The sequence below is a fragment of the Homo sapiens genome, chromosome 14 (genome assembly GCF_000001405.40).
Source record: "Homo sapiens chromosome 14, GRCh38.p14 Primary Assembly".
Classification (NCBI taxonomy): Eukaryota; Metazoa; Chordata; class Mammalia; order Primates; family Hominidae; genus Homo; species Homo sapiens.
Window position 1 is genome coordinate 32,684,128 of NC_000014.9, and position 26,263 is coordinate 32,710,390.

Sequence of the window (26,263 nt, forward strand, 5' to 3'; positions counted from 1 at the left end):
AACCCAGGAAGCAGAACTGGAGCTCAGAAATGTTTTGGCTTCCTCAGCCAACATTAAGGACAGTGTGGTAACTATGGGGTAGCAGAGGCTGAGAGAGCCAAGAATTTACCTTGTGGTAAACTATGCCCTCCCTGCCAGGTGAACATAACATTGTCTTTAAGGAATGCTTATTTTAAAACTATAGGTAAGCAGAACATTTTCATTTCAGTTAGAGTTTTTCCTGCTGTAATATGCAAGAATTACAAAATAAAGACTACACCATTGAGAATTCCAGGTAGTATCTTGATTGACAGAATTGAGGAGTACGGTTGACTATTATTTTCTCTCTTAAAGCTGTAGGTAAAAAGCTCCTGATCCTAGATATAAGATTGCATTGAGTCTGCTCAGATTGCTTCCAACTACACAAATAATGTTTATTTTTAGGGGTAAGTCATGCATTCACTGTAGTCTAATTTCCTAAGAGGAGAGAGAGAAACTAGATTAAAAATTAAGAATAGAATTCAAGTTAGCTCTCTGCTACTTTTTAGCTATGGAACCTTGATTGGGACATTTAACCTCACCAAGATATGATATCTCAGTCTATAAAATGAGAATCATTATCCTAGTGTACTTCATGTTTTTTTTTTTGAGAAAGGAAATGCAATAGTAGGAAAATATCTAAAATACCTAGAATGCAATAAATAATATGAAAAATCATTAACGAAATATTTATTTTCCAACTACTGTGTTGCAGACAGTAGTATGAGATGCTAGCAATGAAAAAGATACGTAAGACTTAATCTCTATGGTATTCAGTGTAGTGAGAGAGAGAGACATTTAGATACATCCTTATAGAACAATGGGCGGGGCTGGGCACAGTGGCTCACACCTGTAATCCCAGCACTTTGGGAGGCCAAAGCAAGAGGATCATTTGAGCCCAGGAGTTCAAGACCAGCCTTGGTAACATAGTAAGACCCCCCCCTACCAAACCTACAAAAAATTTTTTAAGTAGCTGGGCATGGTGGTTTGCATCTATGGTCCCAGCCACCTAGGAGGTTGAGGCAGGAGGATTGCTTGAGCCCAGGAGGTTGAGGCTGCAGTGAGCTTTGATAATGCCACTGCACTCCAACCTGGGAGACAGACTGAAACCATGTCTCAAAAAATAAATTACTTAATTAAGAAAGGGGAAAATTTAAGATACAGAGTGTTATGGGAATACTGAGAAGGGCTACCTAATCCAGCCTAGCTGAAAGGGGTCAAGAAGGCTTAGTGGAGGAGGGAACATCTGAGCTGTCTTAAAGGATGCATAGATTTTAGCCATTAGAAGAGGTCTGGCCGGGTGCGGTGGGATTACATGCCTGTAATCCCAGCACTTTGGGAGGCCGAGGCGGGCGGATCACGAGGTCAGGAGATCGAGACCATCCTGGCCAACATGGTGAAACCCCATCTCTACTAAACATACAAAAAATTAGCCAGGCATGGTGGTGGGCGCCTGTACTCCCAGCTACTAGGGAGGCTGAGGCAGGAGAATGACATGAACCCTGGAGGCGGAGCTTGCAGTGAGCCAATATCCATGCCATTGCACTCCAGCCTGGGCGACAGAGCGAGACTCCATCTCAAAAAAAAAAAAAAAAAAAAGAGGTCTGTGCAGTTCAAATGGCTTTTATTCAAGTCAGGCAATAACAAATGCTGGCGAGGATGTAAAGCAAAGGGAACCCTCATACACTTGGTGGGAATCTAAATTCGTACAACCACTATGGAGAACAGTTTGGAGGTTCCTCAAAAAGCTAAAAATAGGGCTACCATACAATCCAGCAATCCCACTGCTGGGCATATACTCCAAAGACAGGAAATCAGTATATGAAAGAAATATCTTTACTCTCATGTTTGTTGCAGCATTGTTCACAATAGCCAAGCTTTGGAAGCAACTTAAGTGTCCATCAGCAGATGAATGTATAAAGAAAATATAGCACTTATACATGATAGAGTACTATTCAGCCATAAAAAAGAATGAACTTCTGTCATTTGCAACGACGTGATGGAGCTGGAGGTCATTATGTTAAGTGAAATTCGCCAGGCACAAGAAGTGAAACATTGCATGGTCTCACTTTATTTTTTGGGATCTAAAAATCAGAACAGTTGAAATCATGGAGACAGAGAAGGACAGTTACTAGAGACTGGGAAGGGGTAGTAGAGCATCAGAGTTGGGGAGGTGTAGATGGTTAATGGGTTAAAATAAAACACAGAGAATGAATAAGACCTAGCGCTTGATAGCACAACAGGGGGGCTATAGTCAATAATAACTTTATTGTACATTTTAAAATAAAGAAAAGAGTATAATTGGATTGTTTGTAACACAGAGGCTAAATATTGAGAGGATAGATGCCCAATTTTCCATGATGTGATTATTACTTATTGCACTCCTGTACCATAATATCTCATGTACTCCATAAATATATATACGTACTATGTACCCACAAAAATTAAAAATAAAAATTTTAAAATAAATAAAAAAAGTAGAAGAGGGATATGTAGAGGGAGGGAGAGGATTTCAGCCATAAGACAGGAACTAGGTAGGGGGAGTATCTGAATGTGTTGAAGTTTACTACAAATAGTTTGATGCTGTTGAAGCAGAAGATCATGGAGGTGATTTCTGACTCTGCTTCCTGGAATTAGAAGGATTCCAAGAGAGTTTTTAGGGACTTCCACTCCTGTGGTGAAGTTCCAGAAGATACCCCAGTCTCATCAGCTGTATGCCTGACTTCCTCTGGCTGTGGATGAAATTGGGCAATGTCTACAGATAGAGATACAGTTGAGGTTTATGCCTTGTATCTGAGAACACAGGAATAGTTCATCCCTCATCACGCAAGGCTTTAGTATAAATTTTCTTCCCAAATAGAAACAGTATATACAGGTTAATCCCAAGCACAACAGGCTGAATAAAATGAACTTTAAATTAAAATAGGATTATAGGCTAAAAGTTTGGCAGGAAAGAGGAGTTCATTTTCTTTTAGGAAAAGAAGTGCCTCTATATGTGTGTGAAAGTATATACAAATATAACATCCCCAAAGAGAAGTGATATTGACAAGTGAAAACAAATGAATCACGATTTAAAATATCACTTGATTAAAGACCAAATTTGTTTATCTAAATTAATTAAGCAATACGATATGTCAAATGACTTTAACCAAATGAGAAGGGATATAATCACCCTGGATTTCCTGCCATGGGGTGATCTTTCTGGTTTTCTGTTGAGCAGCATGCCAAAATATTCATGCTCTGTCATACTAACTATCTCTCTCTCTCTCTCTCTCTCTCTCTCTCTCTCTCTCTCTTTCTCTCTTTCTCTTTTTTTTTTTTCTCTCTCTCTTACAAACACACACACTGTGACCATTTTGAATTTCTACACGGTGGGTATTTTTAGAACACTGCTACATAAAGTGTTTTCTTTTTGGTGCACACCAGCCATAAAATGATGTGCTATTCTTATGTGTGCCAATGTTGATAACAGTCTCACATATAGATTAAATCACTAGACAACCCAAAGAAATCTTATTTCCATCCAGCATTTCTACTTCCTTCCCTTGACTCTTGCCTTACCTCAGTCTAATAGAAGATCAGTGTTCAATTCAGGCCCTTTTTGTGCTCTGGAACTGTTAAATAGTAAGGTAACAATGTAGGCTACAGTCAAAAGGATTAAAATGTGCCTGGCTGCTTCCTGGATAAATGATATTCTGACCACTATGTAAGTATTTAAATAGGTCTTTCTGGACTAAAACAAACAAAAAAATCTTACCAGTAGAAATGTATTCACTTGGGTCATGATATTATTACACCCCTTTAATGTGAAATAACGTTAAATCGATTGTAGACCTAGACTTCGCTAATTTGATGACATCCATGCCAAGAGCCAACAAAAGGCAAACCAGAGAGGGAGAAGCATGCTTTTGGGAGAAGTATGACTTCAAAGTTAACAGTGTAGTCAACTGATGAAGACATAAATATATAATATAGTATATATATAAAATATAGTGTGTATATATATACACACACACCACACACACACGTCTTTCATGATAACAATGATCAATTTTTGTACTGTTTTGGGGAGTTGATGGGACCTATTGATAAAAGGAGAAAGTTGCCGACACGGACAATGAGAAGGCACCTAAAACAAATCTGATTTATTTCATTTTAGTATACTGAGGTTAGCTCTTTTCTTTAAAATGTATTCCTTTATTCATTTCCCTATCTCCTTCAACAAAGGATCTGAGTCAACTTACAAAAATATTGACAGTAAAATAGAATAAATATTAGACTGAAATAATTTAGGAAAAAGTAAAGTAAGAAAATAAACAAATGTGTATGTTATGTATGTCCTCAAGAAGGGCTATGATTTGGCTATGAGCTATCCATACCCAAAGAATAAAATGAAATTTTATCTATCAGAGAATTCATAGTGTCCTATGATTAAAAATAAATCTATATCAGATGACGCACAACTTCTTATGCTGTTGAGACCTGAGAGGAATTTCTCCTGTAGTTCTTTAAGGCAGAGACAGGTGTCTGTGATACTACACCCGTGCAAGAGAAGTCAAATCCCCAAAGCAGTTTTTTGGTGTAGGCTGCAGAAGTGATGTCAAAGCACAATTCAGTAAGAACAGTTCTGTAAGTAACTAAAATCTTGTAGTCCAAGCATAGCACTCTCTGGGTAGGGTCAGCCTGAATAAAGGATAACTTTTCATGTTAATTGTGCTACCAGGCTTTTGTTAGGATTGGGCAACAGACAATTATTTACAGGTTGTTGATATATTGCCTATTACATCTTGGAAAACTAGTGAGGCCTAGAATAGGGTAATCCTTTTATGAAATGGTGAACTGCCCAACTCACACCAGTGTGCCATTAGGTTTGGATCCATTCCCCTCTTAACACACAAATGATAACATAGGACGGTTTATCTTTTAAAAAAATCATCTCTTTGTCTTTTGAAGTACATTTTTCCATTTGTTCTTCCAACTACTGATTTAAAAATTCTTCAGAATGTTTTCTGTTTCCCTGGCTAGAACTTAGTCCAGCATATTATCTAAAAATTTGGATGAGCCTTTGACTTCCTGATAGTGTAACAGAATCCTCTAAATACACCCAGAAATCTACACTGATGTTTCTAATGTTATAGATTATCTCGTTGGTTAGAATTTTTAATGGATTATCTTGGTGCTTTATGCTTTTTATTTCAATAATAGGTGTTGGTGGACAGATGGTCCACGAGAAAGTGGGGCCAGTTATTAACAAGTTTGTAGGCTTGATTTTATTTTTCTTAGACCTGTTCACATGTACGTAGGTATATATAAAAACTGAGGAAATTACTGCTAGAAAGAACTCCATATTCCTTTTATTTATTAATGGCAAAGGCAGGCTGCTTTTCTCATGAGGAAGTTGCTCATGAATTTTCATTCAAAATAGTAAATTAGTGTCCACACTTTCATATGTTTAGAGTGGAAAGGGATTGTACATGCAACTGTGCATATCAGATTCCATGTCTGGAAAGCTACATTTTATTCTTTGATGATATTATGGTTGGAGATATAACAGGCACCACTATTATATCTCCCTTCTGTGCTTATATGACACATGGAGTAGAGGATGATGGGAAATTCTGATCTATTATTAGTATTTTACTTCAGTAAAATACTTAAACTATATTTTTGCAAGATTTTGTTACCACTCCTTTACGTGTCTTTTTTGAAAGCCAGAGGCAAACTTTCCTAGGCAAATAATGTGAACAGCGAACACTTAGTGAATATTTGGGGAAGGAATCAATATGCTAAAGAAGCTAGGAAAATTGGATCATTTAATAGAACTCCCAATATAGACAGGTGGTATTTCAGGAACCAGTCTGGTGTTTTTAGATGTCCTAGTGTGAATTAATATTAAGCATACAAAAGATGTATTCTTAAGTGCCCCAAAATACACACACACACACACACACACACACACACACACACACACACACGATTACTCAGCCTTAAGTAGAAAACCTGTGAGGACTTTTAGTGTTATATATTTTTTTCAACCAATAATTGCTCTATTTTGATGATTTCTTAATTTGGTTGTCTGTTTTCATCAAAATTCCTTAGTGAGCCCAGTTGAAACCTCATATATTCACACACACACACCTCCCATTGATTTCACTTGGGTGAAACTTTATCGTTTAAGCAAAGTTTAAGTTGAAATGTTGAGTTAATGATGCTCACTTTAAATACCAAAGGCTGAATGCATTTATGTATTCAAACACTTAGCTAGTCAAATATAACTCCCATCAGGGTTTAGAGGAAGGATTATTTCTTAAACTATGCTGGCCTCACAAGTAATATATTACCATCAAATCTGCAGAAAAATGATACTAAATAAGGTTGTTAGTATTTTTTTATTTATAAAAGCCCTGGAATCTTTTTTAACCTTAAATAAGGCAAAGTAAAATGGTGGGTAAGATGTTATGAAATACTTAGAGCAATTACCCATAGTGCTTCAACCCAAACTTAAAAATAAACACTAAAGAAAAATTTCGCACATCTATTTCTCTATAGCCTTGTCTGTTTAGATGCTTAAACTATAAAACAAATACATTTATAGTTCTATATTTGTCTAAGAAAAACTGACTTCAAGTTAGAAGACTTTTTCTCCCCATAACATGATTAAGCTACCTACATCAGAATGTCCAACTCCTTTATTGTGAACCCATTTAAGATCAAGTGTATGGCAAGTTAAATAAGAAATATCAAAAAGAATACATTTTGGTTAAATGTTTGCTTTATAACACTTTCATAGAGTATATATGAGTTTGCTTTATAACACTTTCATAGAAAATGTAACATATTCATAGAGTATTACAATGGTATCCTAACAGGCCTTTTAACATCTAGGAGCTCACAAATGAGAGTGAATGCATTGACATAAACCCAAGCATAATTACAAAGAAAATTTTATGAGGAAAGTCCCTCCAAAAGGGACTCATAGTTCTTATATTTGTATTCCTATAAGATTATAAGCTACTCACCACAATTTTAATCACCTCTCTCCCTTCAAAAGAGAGAGATGAGAGCAGTTGTCATGAGAAATTCAAGAGAAGATCCTGGTTCTGAATTCAGCTGATAGAATCAGCATATTCTCCAAGGGAATATAGAACTGTTAACTAGTTCTCCCCTACCCTTGATAAATTCATTTGTTCATGATCTTCTCTGTTTTCCTGCAGAGTAGCTGGAGCTTTTCCTGGAGCACATTGTCTTTTATAAAATCACTCAAAAAACACACCTTTGCAGCTAATATAAATGTAAGAAAGTGAACTCTTTCCTTACTTAAGAAGTTTCCTATAATACTGGGGACATTAAATTGTGGTCATTTCAGAATCTTTCAAAAGCACCTACAAAGAAATTCAATAATTTATTTCTGATTTGCCACTGTTTTTTTTTGAGACAGAGTCTTGCTGTGTCGCCCAGGCTGGAGTACAATGCCATGACCTCAGCTCACTGCAACCTTTGCCTCCTGGGTTCAAGCAATTCACCTGCCTCAGCCTCCCAAGTAGCTGGGTCTACAAGCATGTGCCACCATGCCTGGCTGATTTTTGTATTTTTAATAGAGACGGGGTTTCACCATGTTGGCCAGGCTAGTCTCAAACTCCTGACCTCAGGTGATCTATCTGCCTGGGCCTCCCAAAGTGCTGGGATTACAGGTGTGAGCCACTGTGCCTGGCTTTGATTTGCCACTGTTATATGTTTGATTTCACTAAATGTGGAAAAATCTCAGGTCTTTTCCAACTTGTGGATTAACACATGGCCAAGAATCTGAAATCAGGCACAAATACTTTTAAGAAAAAAGTTTTTGTCTTCTGTTTTGAGACTTTGTGAGAATTTGTTGTTTAGCACATTGGTGCTCATTGGGTACCAATGAAACAAAATGTGGTACCAAGGCATTTACTGTATCTAACAAATCAAGTATCAAGTCTAAATATTCTCAGCTAGGATGAAAACAAACTAGACTGGATAAAGGGTGAGTATCTGTATTAGGTTCATTTGCTACTTGCAGGTCTCCAGTGTAGACTGTTTGAGAAAAAGTCTTAAGTGACTTTTGTTCGAAGGCCCATGATAAGGAGAATAATAGAAGGAAACAGTTCAATAGATATAAATGCATGCTAAAAAGCCAGTGAAAAAATTCCCATGCTTCAGAACATTTTATTATTTTATATATTTTTTAATTTATTTGAAAACTATTCATTAATAATTTTCATGTTCATAAACCTTTATCTTTCACTATAAAAAGAGGAGGAGGTGAAAGGAAGGGGAAGGCAATTAACATTGATTTAACATCTACTACATATAATCATTTTAAGTAAGTGAATTTACCATTTTAATATAGTAAAAACAAAATCTCACGTAAAGAATGAGTAAAGCAGCCTGTTCATGTTGCACTGGTTGTATTGGTATTGGTCTTTGGCGATGAGATACTGTTGTGTCTGCTGACACATGCTGCTTTTCTGAAGTCATTCTTGCCCCACTGAAGGTTTTTGTTTTCTTTATCTAGATTCATTTATCATCATTCACCAGGGACTATGCTGGACACTGAGGATGCAAAGATAATAAATTTATCTCTTGCCCTTGAATTTCTTAGTCATAATCAAAATTTCTTTTTCAGTGGTGCACATGTATGAAAAAGAAACAAGCTTCTTTCTTTTGTCTTGCCAATTGATCATTTTTATGAGGCACCCTACACTCACACTTTCCTAGAAAAGCAAGAAAAATACTTGCTTTAAGATCAGAGTTCAGGCTCTTAGACACATTATAGCCTCTCTAATAAATTAACATTCTCTTTAGGAAATACTCTCTTGGGATCAATACTCTGTTTTTCAGATTTTCTATTTGTCTCCATTCTTTTCTCCAAGATGACATCTGAGCATATAGGGATTTACATGATCTTGTAATTCTGGGGTGCAGTGGAGTCCCCTGGCTTAACACAGTGCTTAGGTACAGTCTGGCTGGGCTTATTGAAATGGGTCTTGTCAAGGATATTATGAGGCTTCCTCCCACAGAGGGCTGTAGCTGGTCTAGCTTATGTTGTTACCTCTTGGCTTGGTCAGGGACCGGTGGTATTTCTTGCTGACTAAGCCTCAACTCAGCCCTCACTGACCCTGCCAACTCTCTGTGGTCTGGATTGAGAGGCCCACCTGGCTCTCCTTTTGTTGGGGAGAGGCCGTCATTGTGCCTTTGTTGTCATGGCAATGCCTCTGTCAAGTTCACCAGCTGACCTCTCAAGAACCCTGGAGTCTCTTCTTGGGAGAATGAGAGAACAACAGAGCAAAGAGAATTCTAACCGAAGATCTCTCTCTGTCTACAACATCCCCACTCCAGGTTATTGTGGGGACAATATATGAGGCAATTTCCTCGCAGAGTTCTGACCTGGAAATGAAGTTGACATCCTTATGCTTTGGGCTTTTTTCTCAACCTGTCTCACATGCCTCCTTTCTAGGTCTTAGGCCAGGAGAGAGGAGAACACACATCTGAGCACCTGCTCCTCCTGCCTTATTTTTTATTCTCCAAATCCTCTGACGTGGAAAGGGTGAGCTTTCTCTTCCTTTCCCCTTTGCTTTAATAATCCCTTGAATCAGATACTCTTCTAATTTTGTGGGTGGCATTCCACTTTTTCTGTCTGTATGATTAAAATATAGGAGGGTGCAAGGAGAGAGAAATAGGGACTGTAATTCAGGAAGTATTTCTAAATGGTTATACCTCTCAAGGAAATGTTTATTAGTTATTCCTTATTAGTCACAGAGTCAATAAAGAAAACCAGATGGTTTATTTTTTATTTGTCTCTTTTATAGTGGTCGGGTTTTGTTTTGTTTTAGTCTTTCGAAATGGGATACTAGTTCAGATTTCACATATATGCTGGAGGTCTTTGCTACTCAGAAAGTGTGGTCCATGGGGCCAGGCGCGGTGGCTCATGCCTGTAATCCCAGCACTTTGGGAGGCCGAGGTGGGCGGATCATGAGGTCAGGAGATCGACACCATCCTGGCTAACAAGGTGAAACCCCTTCTCCACCAAAAATACAAAAAATTAGCCGAGCGTGGTGGTGGGCGCCTGTAGTCCCAGCTACTCGGGAGGCTGAGGCAGGAGAATGGTGTGAACCCGGGAGGCGGAGCTTGCAGTAGGCAGAGATTGTGCCACTGCACTTCAGCCTGGATAACAGAGTGAGACTCCGTCTCAAAAAAAAAAACAAAAAAAAGCGTGGTCCATGGACCAGCAGTGTTGCCAACACTTGTTAGAAATGAAGAATCTCAAGCCCCACCCTAGAACAGTTACTGAATCAATATCTTCATAACAAGATGATCAGTTTCACCGTATGTGCATTGTAGTTTCAGAAACACTGCTCTAGGCCACCATAGCCTTACTAAAGGTTTTAACTACATCAACTATAACCGTCATTGGCATCCAGTAAACATTTATTAATAAACTCCACATGTTAGCCAATGTTGATGCTTGCCCTTGGGTGCTTATAGTTCTAATCAAGGATCTTTATAGTTATGATAAAGTAATTAAAATAAAATAGGCAATCCTAGATCTATTCCCCCCCACCCCATCACCAGGCACACCTTAAGTTTTTTGACAGATCTATTAAGATTAAATTATAAGTTATTAAAAGTGGATTTTCATTTTCACGGAAAGCAGTCGTTTAATGTACAGAGACAAGAACAGGTAGTAATAAAATACTCAACTGAAAAATTCAGATTCATACCTGAGGCTGCTGCCTCATTAGTACTGATAGGGTTTTGCTCAGTTACAATTTCACAAGACTGTAGGATTTCTTTTAGTGGGGTGATTTTGAGGGGTAAAGGACAAAGTCATAGTTTTTCATTCTGTACTTTCATTTTCAGATCACAGTGTTTTAGAAGAATCTGGGCTTTACTTATTCACCAGGCTTTCAATAGAGAATCACATTAATCCTTTTAAGCTCCTTATTCTAATGATTTATTTTGTTGAAAACCATAGTGATCCTCCTTTGAATTTTAATGATTGCTGGCTATTCAAAGATTCATTGTTTTGACTTCCTGTCCTTACCTTTGTTTCCTACGTGTCTGTGGGGAACACCTGTCTAATACTGGATCTGCCACTGGTTCTCACTGGCTTACCAGAGTCACTCAAGCCTATCTCTGAGTGTTAAGCTGAAATGCTGACTACTCATCCATAACAATAAATGTAGGATATATGTTTGCAGAGATAGGCAGATAGACAGCAGAGGGACAGATAAATGATTGAGTGATGTCCCAGTGAAAACAGTATTTTGGATCTGATAGTATATATCAATATATTTGGAGCTGATAGTGATCCTTATACAGAAATTAGTTAAATTGTTATTCTTAATCATAAATCTATTAGGAAGTAATATCTGTAGAATATCTAGTAGAGGGGAAAGGGGTTCCAATTTTGAGAGTGCTGTTCTTACCCAAAATTCAGGACCATGTAACCTTCTACAAGTCACTGACTCTCTATTTCTCAGTCTATTAAATGGCAGTGCTCTTTTTTAAGGATGCAGTGGTGATCTTTTTGTTCAAGTGCTGCAAATCCTCAGAAAGGGTTAGCAAATGGAAATAGCCATAACGTGTCTCAGGTATGAGCATTGGAATTGCATATTACGTTTTCACAATCTAAGAGGTGGCTGTGTCGCAGGTTTGAGTTTCTATTTTGCCCAGTGTGTAACAACATAGAAATTTTCTCTTCTCTTATTGTAGATAACACTAGAAACATCATGGGTTTTCAAGAATATATTATTCTAATATAAGATTTTAACAACTACACTGTATTTATGCATACTACATTTTGCGCCTTATCTTCAGGCTTCTGGACTTTGATTCAGAATATCAGGAGCTCTGGGATTGGCTGATTGACATGGAGTCCCTTGTGATGGACAGCCACGACCTGATGATGTCAGAGGAGCAGCAGCAGCATCTTTACAAGGTTAGAGCTACCCTTCCTGCCTTTACCTTGCTGTGGAAGATCTGATTAGCCTGACAAGTCTCTCTCTCTCTCTCAGGATATCTTTTCGTTCATTGTATGTATCATGGTGTCTATTAGAATTCCCTTCCCTGTCCCCAAACTCATTTCCATCCCTTGTGTGCTGACAGGCTGCACCGACATCATAATTGCAAGAAAGTTCCCTTTATCACATTCTATTTGCTGTAATTCTATAGAAGGACAAAGATTTATCTTCAAGATGAATAGCAATAAATGAAACTGCATTCATAAATAGACTGAAACAAAATGAAGGATAAATGGACTAGTAATGTTTAACAAAACGTGGTACGATTGGAGCACTCAGGTGGATTCTATCTACCCCTCAGATCTTCCCAGGGAAAAAAGAAATTTGCCTTTGGTTTGGCTTGCTGCTGCCAAAGTACAGGCCTCATCCAATTTAATGTTTATTAGTGATACATAGAGCAGACGTTGTCATATTAAGTCAATACATTTCCATGTGATTTAAGAAAACTGGCTTGAAACTCATGTATTGATTGTAGGCAATCCATCTAATAACTATCTATATTGTTTTCCATGTTTGCTAATTCACCCTTAACCTACTGTATTTTACCAATTCTACTTAAATAGTCTTAGCAGTTCTTATAAAGCAATCATGTGATTTTGCCTAAAAAAAAAAAAAATGGTTGCAGGATTCACAGTGCCTGCAAAAGCTGTCAGGGGGAGGGAAGAGGGACTTTCCACTGAAATATCAGACTGCAGTAAATCTTCCTCATTTAGGCAATTTTTATTGGAGTAATTCTGACAGTTGTCATCCTTGAATTGCTTTGAGCATATGGCATATTTCAAAGAGCAGATTGTGAATCATAAAAAATAAAATTAATAACTAACCACAGAATCAGCAACAGTATAATGACAAGAAACAACTACCTTCTAGTTTTTAAAAATTTCTTATAGAATAAGAAGTACATTCAAGGTCAAATAAAAGTTGCCTTCTTTCTTCTTCAATGGTATCATTTTAAATTACCGTTCTTTAATAAATGATTTTAACTTTTACCTCCTCTAAAGAGAGATATTTGTACTTTTCAAGGGTCTGGTTGACTTTAATTAGTGTCCCCTAGGAATCATCTCAGTTAAGAGAAGATATAAGCTCCCCAGGGACCCAGCAAATGGGGACATTTTATTCTCTAAAGAATGCAGTCCAACCTTAATTGAGTTTGTTGACTGTTAGCTGTTTCCTGTATGGGTAGCTGTCCACATTAACAACACAGCTATCTAATATATCTTCTGGCATAACATATTGTTACAGTAACAGTCTCAACCTAATTTAACAAAAACTAGATGACTTCACATTTCACATCAGGATCAGGAATTACATATGAAAACGTGCATATAAATCTCTATTAATTTAGTGATAGAAAAATATTTTATCCCTAAGACTTAAGTATTAAGAATTGAGCCAAATGGGAAAAATATAAAAGGTTACCTAACCATAAGCCATTATCTCGGACTTTATTGCACTCATGATGCCAAATAATATTTCTTTTCTTCTTGATGCATTTTTTATTTTGCACATAAGCCACTATTTTTTCAGAAACAGTGCTATTCTTTGTCAAAATCACATTCATATAATTTACATCACAATTAATAGGAAATCATTGAACAAAAATGCAGTCTTCTTTTTTCTTGCAGTTTCCTTATAAGTGCTTTGCCTGAAAATTCCCATTCTGGCATATTGAAGGCCATTATTCCACCCACTCAGAACTTCTGGGTTATAGTATTTTTCCAAACATTTTCTGTACTGTGATTTTTCATTTGTGACTCACGTCCTGTCACCATTCTTCTGCTTTTAGGTGCTTAACATAGCTCTGCTCATTAGACCAGCACTAACTTTACATTTGGCTTATAAGCAAAATTAAAGATTGAGTTAGAAACCAGTAGAAAATGCTGCTAGTCTGTAGGGTCTTTCTTTATGTGCACTCCCAAATTATTCCAGAGGCTTGGAAGCCTCCAGAATAACCCTGAGGATATTGACTGAGGAGTCATGTAGAACTTCAGGTGGCTCCTAAATTAGAAAAATTGATGAGAAGAATTAATTTCATGTCTTCTCAAGAATCCTCAGGGATTTCCAGGTTAAGTCAACATTTTCAATATCCTATTCCTCTGTTCTAATCTGCTTTTCCAGGAATCAACTGAACTGATGCCTTGAGAAAGGGGTATTTATGGTCTGTTGATCATAGAGACCCCTGAAGGAGTAAAGCTTTTCAATTGGTGCCCAGGCCTTGCCAGGTTTTAAATACAATTTGAGACTACCTTATTTATCTCTAATCTTTGTATTTGTTGACCCCAAAAGATACCAGTGCTTTATTAACCTTTTTTATTAAGGGCACCATTGACATTTAGGGCGAAACAATTTTTTTTTAGTTTGTGGGCCTGTCTTTTACACTACAGAACATTTACTCTTCATGTTCCCCACTCATTGTGACAACTCAACGAGACCTCCCAACCCATTTTACAGCATTTCCCAGTCCATCTCAACATATCTATACCATCTTTGTTTCTTAAAATACTTATATAACAACAAGGAAAATGCCTTAAACTTGTACTGTAAACGTTATTGAACAAACACTTTATATAGCTGATATTGAACCAACAGTTGTGAGTTTAAAAATCAAGGATGAAAATGAAGCTCATCATCCCTAGTATTAACGAAAAGGATGAGGTGAAACTTCTAAGGGAGATCTTCAGCTGAGTGATGGCAAAAATCCTAGGAAACTGTAGAGCAGGACCGAATCTTTATTCCTTCTATTAGAGCATTTAAAACCTTTGTTCTTCTCTCCCTGGGTGTCTCTCTGTATTTCATCACTCAACCCCTTTCCTGGAGTATTTATGCCCAAACCCTGACTCATGCACTTATGAAGTCCTAGGTTGATCCCCAAGGTATGTGTTTAGAAATGTCAGGTTAGATAAAATCTAATAAGATGCTAGTCAGTGAGAGTGAAGCTTATTTAGCTTTTTCAACATTAGGCATTACCTTCCTGACTTTACCTATATATTTTTATATCCTGATTTGCACTAGAAAATCAGCTAGCCTTACCTCCTAAACATGAAACTACAGATTGTATGAAATACAGAAACCCTAGACTATCCACTCAGCAGATATCCTGAGTACAGCATCTATTGTGATATTTAGGCTAATCCAAAGCCAGCAAAATACACAAGGAATTTATAAAGACAAATAATTGGATTTAATGGGCAAAGACTACATTAGTACAACTTAACATCATTCAGAAACCTTAATTAATACTGCAATGGGCTATAAAGTGGACTTTCTATTTGAACTATTTCTTGTTATTTTTATATTGTTAGAAATTTAAGATCATTTTTTGAGTTAATTTTAAACTGCAGTCTCAAGAGCAACCTAATTCCTATTAAAAACTAACCATTCCCTTAAATGTACTTTCTTCTTTGTTTTGAGACAGTGAGTTATACTGCCAATGACTTCCCTTCCCCCTTATCTGTCTTGCTCTACCTCTGAATAGGAGCCTTCTATATCTATTTTCTAATGAACATTGGCAATATCGTCAGCCTAGAAAACACAAATGTAGTCTTTTCTCATTTTTTCTTCCTCAACCTGAGAATTACCTCGAAGGAGAATTTGCACCCACTCTCTCACTTTCTTTCTCGTCATTCCTCCTCTCTTCCTAAGTAGGACAATTTAATTTGTCAAAAGTAACCACTATGATTTTGAAAGTTCAGCTCCTATTTGGACTAGAGTTACGACGCCAGAATTCATAATCACAGGGAGCTGTCACTCTGCTGGTCTGCATGTGCATTAACTATTAATGGAGAAATATTTAAAACCCACTTGTGAAGGAAAAGCTCCATTTTTTCATTTCTACAGATCAAAGGTGGCATTATTCTTGGGCTTGGGGAAGCTCATGACACCTCCTCCCCCATTCTCTAAGTGTTATAGACTGAGTGACCTAGAAGCATTTCAACGTTTAGAGAGTTATAGCTCAGACTGCTGCTGTTGCTGCTGCACTGTCCTCCCCAGCAGGTACAGCTGACATTGTAGTATGGTGAGGGTGTGCCCTATCAGAGGCTCCTTACCTATGCACAAAGGACTGCCAGTTCGCTGCTACCTACAGAGCACAGATGACAGATCTCCTAGTGATCCGAAGTTGGTCTGGAATTCCAGACTCCAAGGGTTAATTTCAAGGGCCAAATTCAGAAGTTGCAGCCTGGTGATTATTGTTATAATTAAACAAGAGTTTTCAGATAGTATGAAGCTCACTGAAACACCCCACTTATATATTTGTTCCTTGAACGATAGCTTACCTGCTCCTCATCAATAAAATATTAGATTATAGTCATGGGCTGCATAACAAGATTTTTGGCCTTTGAAGGACTACATATGCAATGGTTATCCCATAAGATTATAATACTATATTTTTACTATACCTTTTCTATATTTATGTACACAAATACTTACCATTGTGTTACGGTTGCCTACAGTATTCAGTATAGTAACATGCTGTACAGGTTTGTAGCCTAGGAGCAATAGGCTCTACCGTATAGCCAAGATGTGTAATAGTCTCTACCATCTACTCTATCATCTAGGTTTATCTAAGTACACTCTAGGATGTTCACACAGTGACAAAATCATGAAACACTGCTTGAATGGAGACCAGAAAGTGAGGTGGGGAGAAAGGGAGAGATTATAGCAGGGATATACATTTCTCAGAACATACCCCGTTGTTAAGCAACATGATTTGTACATGATTTATAAAGGGTTAAAAATAACTCTTCCAGCTTAAAAATACTACTAAATAAGTATCCAATTCAACTGAGATCTTTGTACTTTCAGAGAATTTATACTAAAGATTTTGTACTTAATTTTGTAGGTTAGTTACTCATATGGCTTCATTCATATAAGTCCAAACATGTCCTCTGTGTAAAAGGAAAAGGACCATTCATTTATATAATACAATGGCTACTAAACAGATCAATTACATTTTTACCCTGCTATGAATTTGGGGTTATTTATAAGAATCAACATGAAAATAATATAAATATTTTAAAAACATAAATACAAATCAGACTGGAGAAAATATACATAGACTAGAAGTTGCATCTGTAAGAAGAGTTAATATGCCTGTATATAAACTGCAAAGCCCTACACAGTTACTAAAACATGATCCCAATGTTATATTTTGAGTTTCCTGGTAGTGAAAGCAAAGAGGGAAATGTGTCCAGTTGCAAAATGTATACTTTCTATAAGAAAAAGAGATAATACTTCCTTTGAAGAAATTTTGTTTTGATACTTAGATGTGAAAACATTTTCTTTTAGGATTTTTTTAAAATACAAGGGCTTAGAATGGTATGGTAAATAAATTTCTAACCATAATAATTATTAAATATAAATACGTGTGGAATAGAATTAGAAATTCTGAGGAATAGGAAATATAGAGTACAAGAAGAAGTATGGAACATAGTTGACTTGCTATTTTATAACTATTGATATCAAAATGATGTCATAGATATGAACTAATCTCAGAAAACAGATTAATCACACTATTCCTGTATTTCATAAATTCACACATTTCAGCTTTCTGGAATAGCTCTCTTTTATTTTGTTCTGGACCAAATTGATCTAACTAATTTCCGATGTGATTTGATATTCTTATGACTAAACTTGAGCCCCTAAAAGTGTAATGTTAGGTTGGTTCATGGTCCAGGTCACAGTAGCTAAACTTGAAATAGAAGACAATTCATTAACTTTTTAAAAAAAAATTCACATGGTGGTGTACAGAATAGAAGGACGAGTCAAAAAATTAAATTCTGTTAATTAGGCCTTATATTGGAATTTCAGTGTTGAATGTTACATCTCTACCCTGATGTTCAAAATGAAACAAATTACAGTTATTGAAGCAGTCAAGGTAAAAATGTTCTAGATATATCAGGCACAAGAATTTAATGGTAATTTTTTACCTCTTTTCCTGGTAGATTAATTGTATAGCTTAATAGTATGTTAGATTAAAACTCCATTAAGATAAGAAGAATATGCTTAAATTCATTATAATATTTCAAATAACATTATCTAGTCATTTAAAAAGTGATCAGAATGGAAAGATCTAGACTGTCTCCACTGCTTATCTAGAAATGAATTTGTTGTTTCATTTTTATTAAAGTTTGAAAAGTCCTTAGATTAACTGTCATATTAATTTGAGCTTTGATGAATCAGTGTTTGCTATGAATACTTGAATATATTTTTTTTCCTTTTTTTTTTCTTTTTTTGAGAGAGGGCAAAACTTATCCTGAAAATGTTTAGGGGAAGAAAAAGTAGATGAATGTGGTTTCTCAACAATGTTTGAAACACTGTTCATGCTGGAGCCTGTAATTCCTATTTGAATCACTTCTTTAAAAAGAAAAAAAAAAAGATGTTAAGAGAATAGGATGCCAAGAAATAGTTGGCTGTGTGTGTGGAGGGGCAAGGAAGGGAAGCCCCGCCAGCAGTTTTTGTCTCTAGCGGGTGAGCTACTGTCCGGAAGGTGCGTTGGCTCTCTGGGCTGGCCTCTGAGGCATTGTGCTGCTCCCTCTCTCCCTGGCCTGGCTGGCTCTGGCCTAGAGTGGATCAAACGAGCCGTGGGGAAAGTTCCCCTCATTTGCATCACTTCTAGACAGCCCTGTCGTACTCTTTGCTGACAGGAAATCACTGTCTTTGTCACCTTTTCTCAGGGCCCTCCTTTTGGCAGAGATGGGCCATGTGACCACGCTTAATCACAACAGGGCTGGCTCAGGACTCAATGACATGTTTTCCTCAGCACTTCAATAAATGGGGTACAGGAGTCAGTAGGAAATGAGTACATTAATTTTAGAGTGAAAAGATAATTAACACTTGAAGGACTAATGCTACAACCTATGGAATTATTATTCAAATTGAAGTTAATTTATCAAAAACTTGTGAAAACTATCTGCCCTAATGCAACTGTTTAAAAAAATAAAACTTGAATAGTAAGAGTTGGGCATGTTGGAGGCAGAGTGGGAAGAAGGCGGGGAGAGGGGGGCTTGGATGGAGAGTGGAGAGTGAGGGGAGAGAAAGGGAGAGAGGGAAATCATAGCAGGCATTAGCTATGTTTGAAAAAGCAACTTAAATGGGCTAAAACTTCAACATTTGGGACTGAAGGCTGGAGCACGTAAAACGCTTACTTAGATGATATGAATAGGACACTGGCAAACAAAAGCAGCAGTGTGCTCCTAGAAAACTGTGCTTAAAGGAGTTTCCTTGGCAACAGAAATGCAGTTCCAAAAGTAGACAGAACTTTCCTCAGAAAACATACTATTAATAACAACCTTCCGGAACAACTTGGAACAATTTGACGACTTGGCAATAATAATGCCAAGTGTTCTGCAAATTAATCTAACACATAACAGTTATGTTTCTCTTGCCTGTAATTCTGCTGGACCCTACCTAGAACTCATGCTTTTAGCAGCACAAATGTGAAAAATATTTCTAAATGCTGTCACGGAAAAAGAAAACCAAAAGAAATGCTAGTGGCCAACAGTGGCCAATGATTGTATTCAGCCTTTTGGAATCTACTAAGAACTCTGAGTTCAATGAGATAAGTTTATTCCAATAAATGCTCCTATATTTACTATCTCATTTCAGTAAAGAGGCTTCCACAGACAAAACTTGGTAAAGGGTTAACAGTCTGAGACTTGCTGTGATGTGAAGCACATCTGAGGCCGTTGGTTATGTAAATGTAATGCTCACTAAATATGTGCTGAGTGTTATTTTTTAAAGTATCATCATTTCTTGTTAGCCTAGAGAATAAACTAATCTTGGATGTACTTGGCCAACGGGAATCATTTGAATTCTCCTGAAGGCTATCCGTTTGCCAGCCAAGAGAGGTAGAGTATTCCCCTCCTCTGACCTTTCTTGAATCCTTGGATCTAAAGGTTAAAAGTAATCAATATCTCATTGTGCTGCTTGGTTTCAGGGTAATAAGTAATAACCATCATGTTAAAATCCAAATGATTACAGATAGCACTTAAATTAGTTGACCTGTTTGGGAGATTTTATTACTTCCAATCAGGATAATAATTAGAGTTTGCTAATAAAATTTTGGATTAAGTTGCAAAAAATTTCAGCCTTTAATTTTTTGAAAAATGACTTTTACTTAATTAGATGGGAATGCGTAGTATTCCCTCTTTTGTTAAGCTGATAGCTTTTGCTTTAGCCCCAGATATTTGTAGATTTCTTTCTAGTTTCTAGAAAAGAAAGTAGAGGAACATTTAAATTTCTGATAAGAAAAGGTTTTTGGATCACTGCCATCTTTGGCTCCTGAACTACTCAAAACTATGTATATGTTTCAGGTTAGTGACTTCATAGCAGTGACCCTCACCTACTTTTTAGTATGTCCTGTTTTTAAATTACTTATCTTTAGTGGTTATATTCATATTGGGGCTAATCTGGTTTGAGGCTGGCAAAAAATTATATGATGTATGATTAAACTTTACAGACAGCTATGGTATGAATGGGGTTATTTATTTTGTTTAAAAAAAGAGTATCAAAATTTAAAGATGAAAACCAAATATTATCATTGACAAAGAGGTATTAATATAAAAAAGATAAATGATAGGCTTAATGTTCCATGTAATTACATCAGGAAGGCATTGGTTATCATAATTATAACCACAAGGAAATGTATAAGGTACATATGCTATTTGGTCTAAATAATTTGTCTTTTATCATCGTTCTAGTTTTTATAGTTTATTAGAACTTCTTGAATGTATTCCTAAAGCAGGAATGTGGGGCTAAAAGGTACCTAGGTAACGTTTCAGTTATTTCAAAAGAAGTCCTGGTACCTGTTCAGAATAGATGGTAAGGCGCAAGGGAAAAGTTTTCCCATAGTGCTTTCACATTAAACTCATTAACTTCCTTTATGTCCGTATCTCATAACATTGTCTAACTTTGGAAAGAAGCACATTTGTGGTTGTCCTAGGGATATCAATTTGGAGTATTAGGGAATTCTCCAACCCAGCTAGCTGCATTACCAACTGACCATACTGCCTTTAATCCCATTCTTAAGATTCATTTCTTTGGGGTAAAGAAGAATGCACTCTACTGAATGCAGATATTCTGTGGGGAAGGCGCAGGAGAATGATATTGAATTAAATATCAATTTTAATATCTAGCTAAAATAGAAAGGCATTGGGAAGGGAAGAGAGTGGGTAGAGAGAAGAAATCCAGAAAAGGGAACAAAAACAGATGTTATCTTCTTCAACATTTGATAAAAAGAGAAGTGTGTTTATGTGTATGTATATGTGAGTGTGTTTTTCTGGTATTGAGATGGGTGTAGGATAGAGGGAGAAAGAAACTTATCAAATAGTAAGATTTTACTAATAAATTTGATTGTGTCAGTGCCCCATTCACATTATCTTATTTAATGCTCACAGGGATCTTGATTATTTTCCTTAATTCATAGACCCTGAGCCAAAAACATAAAGAGGTTAGGAAGCTAGCCTAAAAAGGCACAGAACTTGTCCCTTAGTCAGGCTAGGCTAGGGTATGCCAAGATAACAAATATGCCCCAAATCTCAGAGGCTTAAAGCTGCAAAGATTTATTTCTCATGCATACTACATGTCCATCACATGTTGGCTATTGGCTCTGCTTGGCATTGTCCTCACTCTTAGACTTAGGCTAATGGCACAGCCACCGTCTTAAATATTCCCTTACTATGGTAGAGAGAAAAGGGAGCTCTAGCGGGTCTCACTCTGGCCATTAAGCCTTCTACCTGGAAGAAACACATGTCAGTTCCACTCAAAATTTTTTGGCCAGAACTAATTGCATGGCCACAACCAACTTCAAAGTAGATGGGGGAAATGCAGCCCTACCATGTGCCTGAAATGCAGAAAGCTAGAAATATTTGTGGAGCTGTGCTAATAACTACCACAAGAACTAAGTAAGTTGGGATTTGAACCCAATCTGGGTGGCTCCAATGCTCATGGTCTTTTGCTCGCCTGCTCATTGTTGCCCCATATCATCTTCTCTACAACAGGTAGATTCTTGCAAGAACGTTATTTCCTCCCTCTGTATGAACTTTTTGTGCTAAGATAGAAGAAAGAAATGTTAGAAGGTATATCTGCAAAGAAAAGATGATAGACTTGGGTTGGCTCTTTAGCTAATCATCAGGCTGTTCTGTGAAAGCCCCCAAATGTTCTTAAGCACCTCAATACCCTGGGCAAGTATTGCCATGCTGAGCCTCACTGGGGCCTCCTGCATTTTGTTAGATTCAGGAAAGCTAAGGATGAAAACATTTATGCTTTTTGGGAGATGCACTAAAGGCAGCATTGCCCTCAGATGATTCAACCTCCTGGATCCCGTTATGCCAAAGGAAGTTACTAAAGGAGGGTCCCCATGGAGAGATGCTCTATAGGAATATCATTTGCAGAAAAACCATTTTGCAGTCCTGTTGAGGAAGCAGTTTCAGTTCTCAGAAACAAGAGCCTTCCTAAGCATATTTTTAATAATGTGGGCTTTTGTGAAACTCATACATTCTTAAACTAAGCACTTCTGTGACACTCTATCCCTAATGAGGCACACTGGGGTAAGCAAAGAAGGAAGGAGTGGTCTTCCTGCTGAACCTTGATTCATTTACATAAGACACAAAACACACAAACACACTACACACACATGCAAGCTAGGAAAGAAACAACCAGGCTAATGCTCTTATGGCCTTTGGGTTGATTTCAATTTCACTTCTAAAGTTTCTCAAACCACAGAGCTCTAGCCTTTCTCCAGAAGGATAGCTATACCCTACTGAAACTCATCTAAACTTACTATTTCAGCTGCTTTCCTAAGTAGTTGATTCCATATGCTTATAGACATTTACATAAAGAAAATGTGTGAATTTTAATATCCCCCTTGTCATCTCATTTTAGCCTTAAAAACTGGGAAGTCTGTGGAGGAAGTACACACACATAAAATGTGTTTATTCACATACATTTATGTGTGTATACATATATACACGTATACAAAGTATTAACTTATTTAATTTAAAAAAATCTTTCACCAAGATTGAATTTGAATGAAACCAGATTCCTTGAATCAGATATGCTATAGTCCCAAGACATTTAAATCATGCATATATAAATAACTGTACAAAATTCCTTCATATATGCCAAGTTTCAGTCTGGAGCACATTTCCATGTTACAAATCTTGGCATACTGGATTTTACAACCTTCATTACAACAGTATTATCCCTTTTAGTACTCAAAAGTGCCTCCCTGTGAAAGTTCTTCTTGGGGATTATTCAGCTGTGAATACTTGTTTATTAGTTAAATGCATATTTTAAAATAATGATCATAAATATGGACTTAGTAGGCCAAATTTGAGAATGATTGATTATATTTTTTGTTAGACTTCACACTCCACGTGGAGGATTCGTGTTATTTATTGATTATTTATTAATGTATCTCCAGTGCCAAGCACAGTGCCTGGCACATAATAGAAACTCAATAAATATATGTTGAAACACATATTTTCAACAAGGCTTATTCAATAGTTAATTAAACTCTATTAATCAGAACTATGCTATCAATTCATTACTTTTTCAACAAAACAGTCTATTTTTATGCTGTGATAATTGAATGTAAAACTTTATGTTCTTTTATATATAAAACAAAAATTTCTCTCCTGGCAAAACCAAAGTGCAGTAAAGACAGTTCCTAATACCAAGAGTACTCAGGCTTGGCCAGGTTGATATCAGGGAGAAAGAGAAAGTAGTAGGGAAAGAATAAGGCAGAGAGGAAGGGAAGGACAAAGACACCCATGTCTGAGACATAAATGGTACAGAAATCCACAACTAATCACCATAATTCTATGGCTAGTCTCCAGCCTCTCAAACCATAGTATTCTCTGGTGTATTCTTGAATATTTAGATACATACGGGTATGATTATTTATACATGTGAAGGTAACATGTGCTGTGCAAATGTGAAACCTAAAAATCAGACAATAGATGTAGGTGAATATCAACAGTAATTAGAAATGGTAGGTATAGAAGCACAATTTGTACTTGTACCATAGTTGGCAGGAGAGTTTATTGACATATTCATTGCAGAAAATTAGATACGACTTCAGATGAGTGTGTGCTTCCGAAAATGTCGTCAGTAAGGGAGTGAGGAAAACAAGAAGGGACTTAGACTTGGGCTGGCTCTTTAGTCCAAGTTTATGATGAGAGGGAGAGACATGTGCACATGTGAGAGAAAGAGAGAGAGAGAGAATGAGCAAGAGAGAGAAAGAGAGAGAGTAAAAGAGTGACTTATCTTCCCAAAGCCGTAGCTAGCTAATTCAGAATATGGAAATTTAAAAATTAAATGTCACTGCTCTAATACCAGGAGAGGGCTGAAACACTTTTGAAACTTTCTCCCACATTTTCATTTTTAAAAAGTATTATACTATTCATAATTTTAAGAAATAATCATATATGGCCATTAGTCATTTTTTTTTACTTAGTGATTAATTGTGAACTTTAATGATTTTAAACAATTAAGAAAATGTTACAAGATGCATCATTTCAAATTAGCATCTGACAGATTTGTAATCACTTCACTTCTTGGCCCTCTTTGTGTCCACCTTGACATCCTTTTGGGTTTACTGTTTTCCCACTGAACTTTGTCCTTCCTCCTTAGCTTTCCTCAGCTGACATGCTGCAGTTTGAAAATATGCATGATAAACATTCCTGTCTGTATGATTTTTCCCTCCTCTTCCTCACTCTCATCTGCCTGGTGGTACTAAAGACCCATTCTGTGAAGTAATGTCTTATAAACCAGGAGCCAAAATCCTCATGTTAACTTAAGTATAAATGAGTCTCTAGGGTTAAGCTAATTGAAATATTTTCTGTAACTTGGAAATACCGCAAAAGAATTCAAATTTGGCTAGCATCTTATAATCCAAGTTTTGATGATAGTTTCACTAGGCTCCATCCGTCCAAGTTTGGGTTAGAAAAAGAAATAAAGTATGGAAACACTGTCAGAAGCCTTTTCTGTTTACAAAAAGATCCAGGGATACCATGAGTAATGCCAGAAATCTCATGTGACAGCCAGCTCTTGTGGGAGTTTTGAGCTCACCAAGTTCAGGAAATAGTTCCAGAAAGCTGATTGGAGCATTGGAGCACAACGATTTTTTTTTTTAATCTGAAGTGAATAATTGTGTTCCCCGTCTGCTGTCCACACTGCTGCTCAGAACTATACCCTGGTGGGGTGGACATCTCCCCAGTGCTAGGTAATATTTGGCACTCAGTAAATACTTTCTGATTTGAATCACCTACTTAATGATTCTTCTCCTGAATATTCCAAAGTTGATCTCTAAGAGATTTTGTACAGTTATTTAGTTCCATGGAAAGTGAGAATTTCAGTGGTGTTCCAGGACTGCAAGTACCTTGAAAAGACCTTCATTTCATTCCTTCTCTTTCAAGGATTGTTTTTATCCATTCCATATAGGAGAGAATTTGTCCTCCATTAAAGATCTTTCCAGAGGGAATTCCACAGCCTTCCATTAAAATGTTTAACTCTCCCTTTCCTGAAAGTCTTCTTATTTCTAGTGTAAATCCTCTCTGTTGGTGGTATTAATTGTCAAATCAGCCAGAATCCATGCTCTGTAACTAGCTCTTCTGTTTTCTGTATAGTCACATTTCTCAAGCTTTTGCAGTTTCAAGTTAGAAAATTTTTTGGTGCTCAAAACTGGTTGGTGAAAAAAATTTTTTTAAGTCATTTATTTCAGTTTTGTCTACACTCCATCTAACTGAAACCACTTCCATCCTCTTTTGTAGCAGAAAATATGCTAATATTGAAAGACTGCTGGTAAATCCATATATCTGAGAGGCTTTAACAAGCTCCATGGATTTCTCCATCAGGTTTTTCAACTATCTCTTATTAACAGTTAATAAAATAGTTCATGGATGGTTTGGAAGACGACTGTAGCTTTTCTGAGATGGTATGACTTACAGTATATGCCTTTAAAAAAATTTAAAAAGAAAAAGAACATGACATAAAAAATGGACCCAAAAAAAAAAAAAAACCTCTTCCATTTAGGGACAGAGCTACTTCTTCTCCCAGTGGATGCGTAATATATTATTTATGTCGGAGTGAGCATTGTGTTTTTGGCTCACATTCCATTTGGAGCATACACAATATGACAGTTTCCTTGGCTTATTGTTGTATATGTGGCTATCTATTTTTAATACATTGCTTTTGTC

The 26,263-nt window shown here is 36.7% G+C and overlaps 1 protein-coding gene across 14 annotated transcripts in view; it reads left to right on the forward strand.

The window, feature by feature from the left end:
- Nucleotides 1-26,263, forward strand: part of AKAP6 (A-kinase anchoring protein 6) — a 508,387-nt gene that overhangs the window by 354,830 nt on the left and 127,294 nt on the right. For all 14 annotated transcript variants that reach the window (XM_047431969.1, XM_047431966.1, XM_024449755.2 and 11 more), the window contains one exon: nucleotides 11,863-11,983. In XM_047431969.1, coding sequence (XP_047287925.1) covers nucleotides 11,863-11,983 — 121 coding nt within the window. The remainder of the gene's footprint in view (nucleotides 1-11,862; nucleotides 11,984-26,263) is intronic.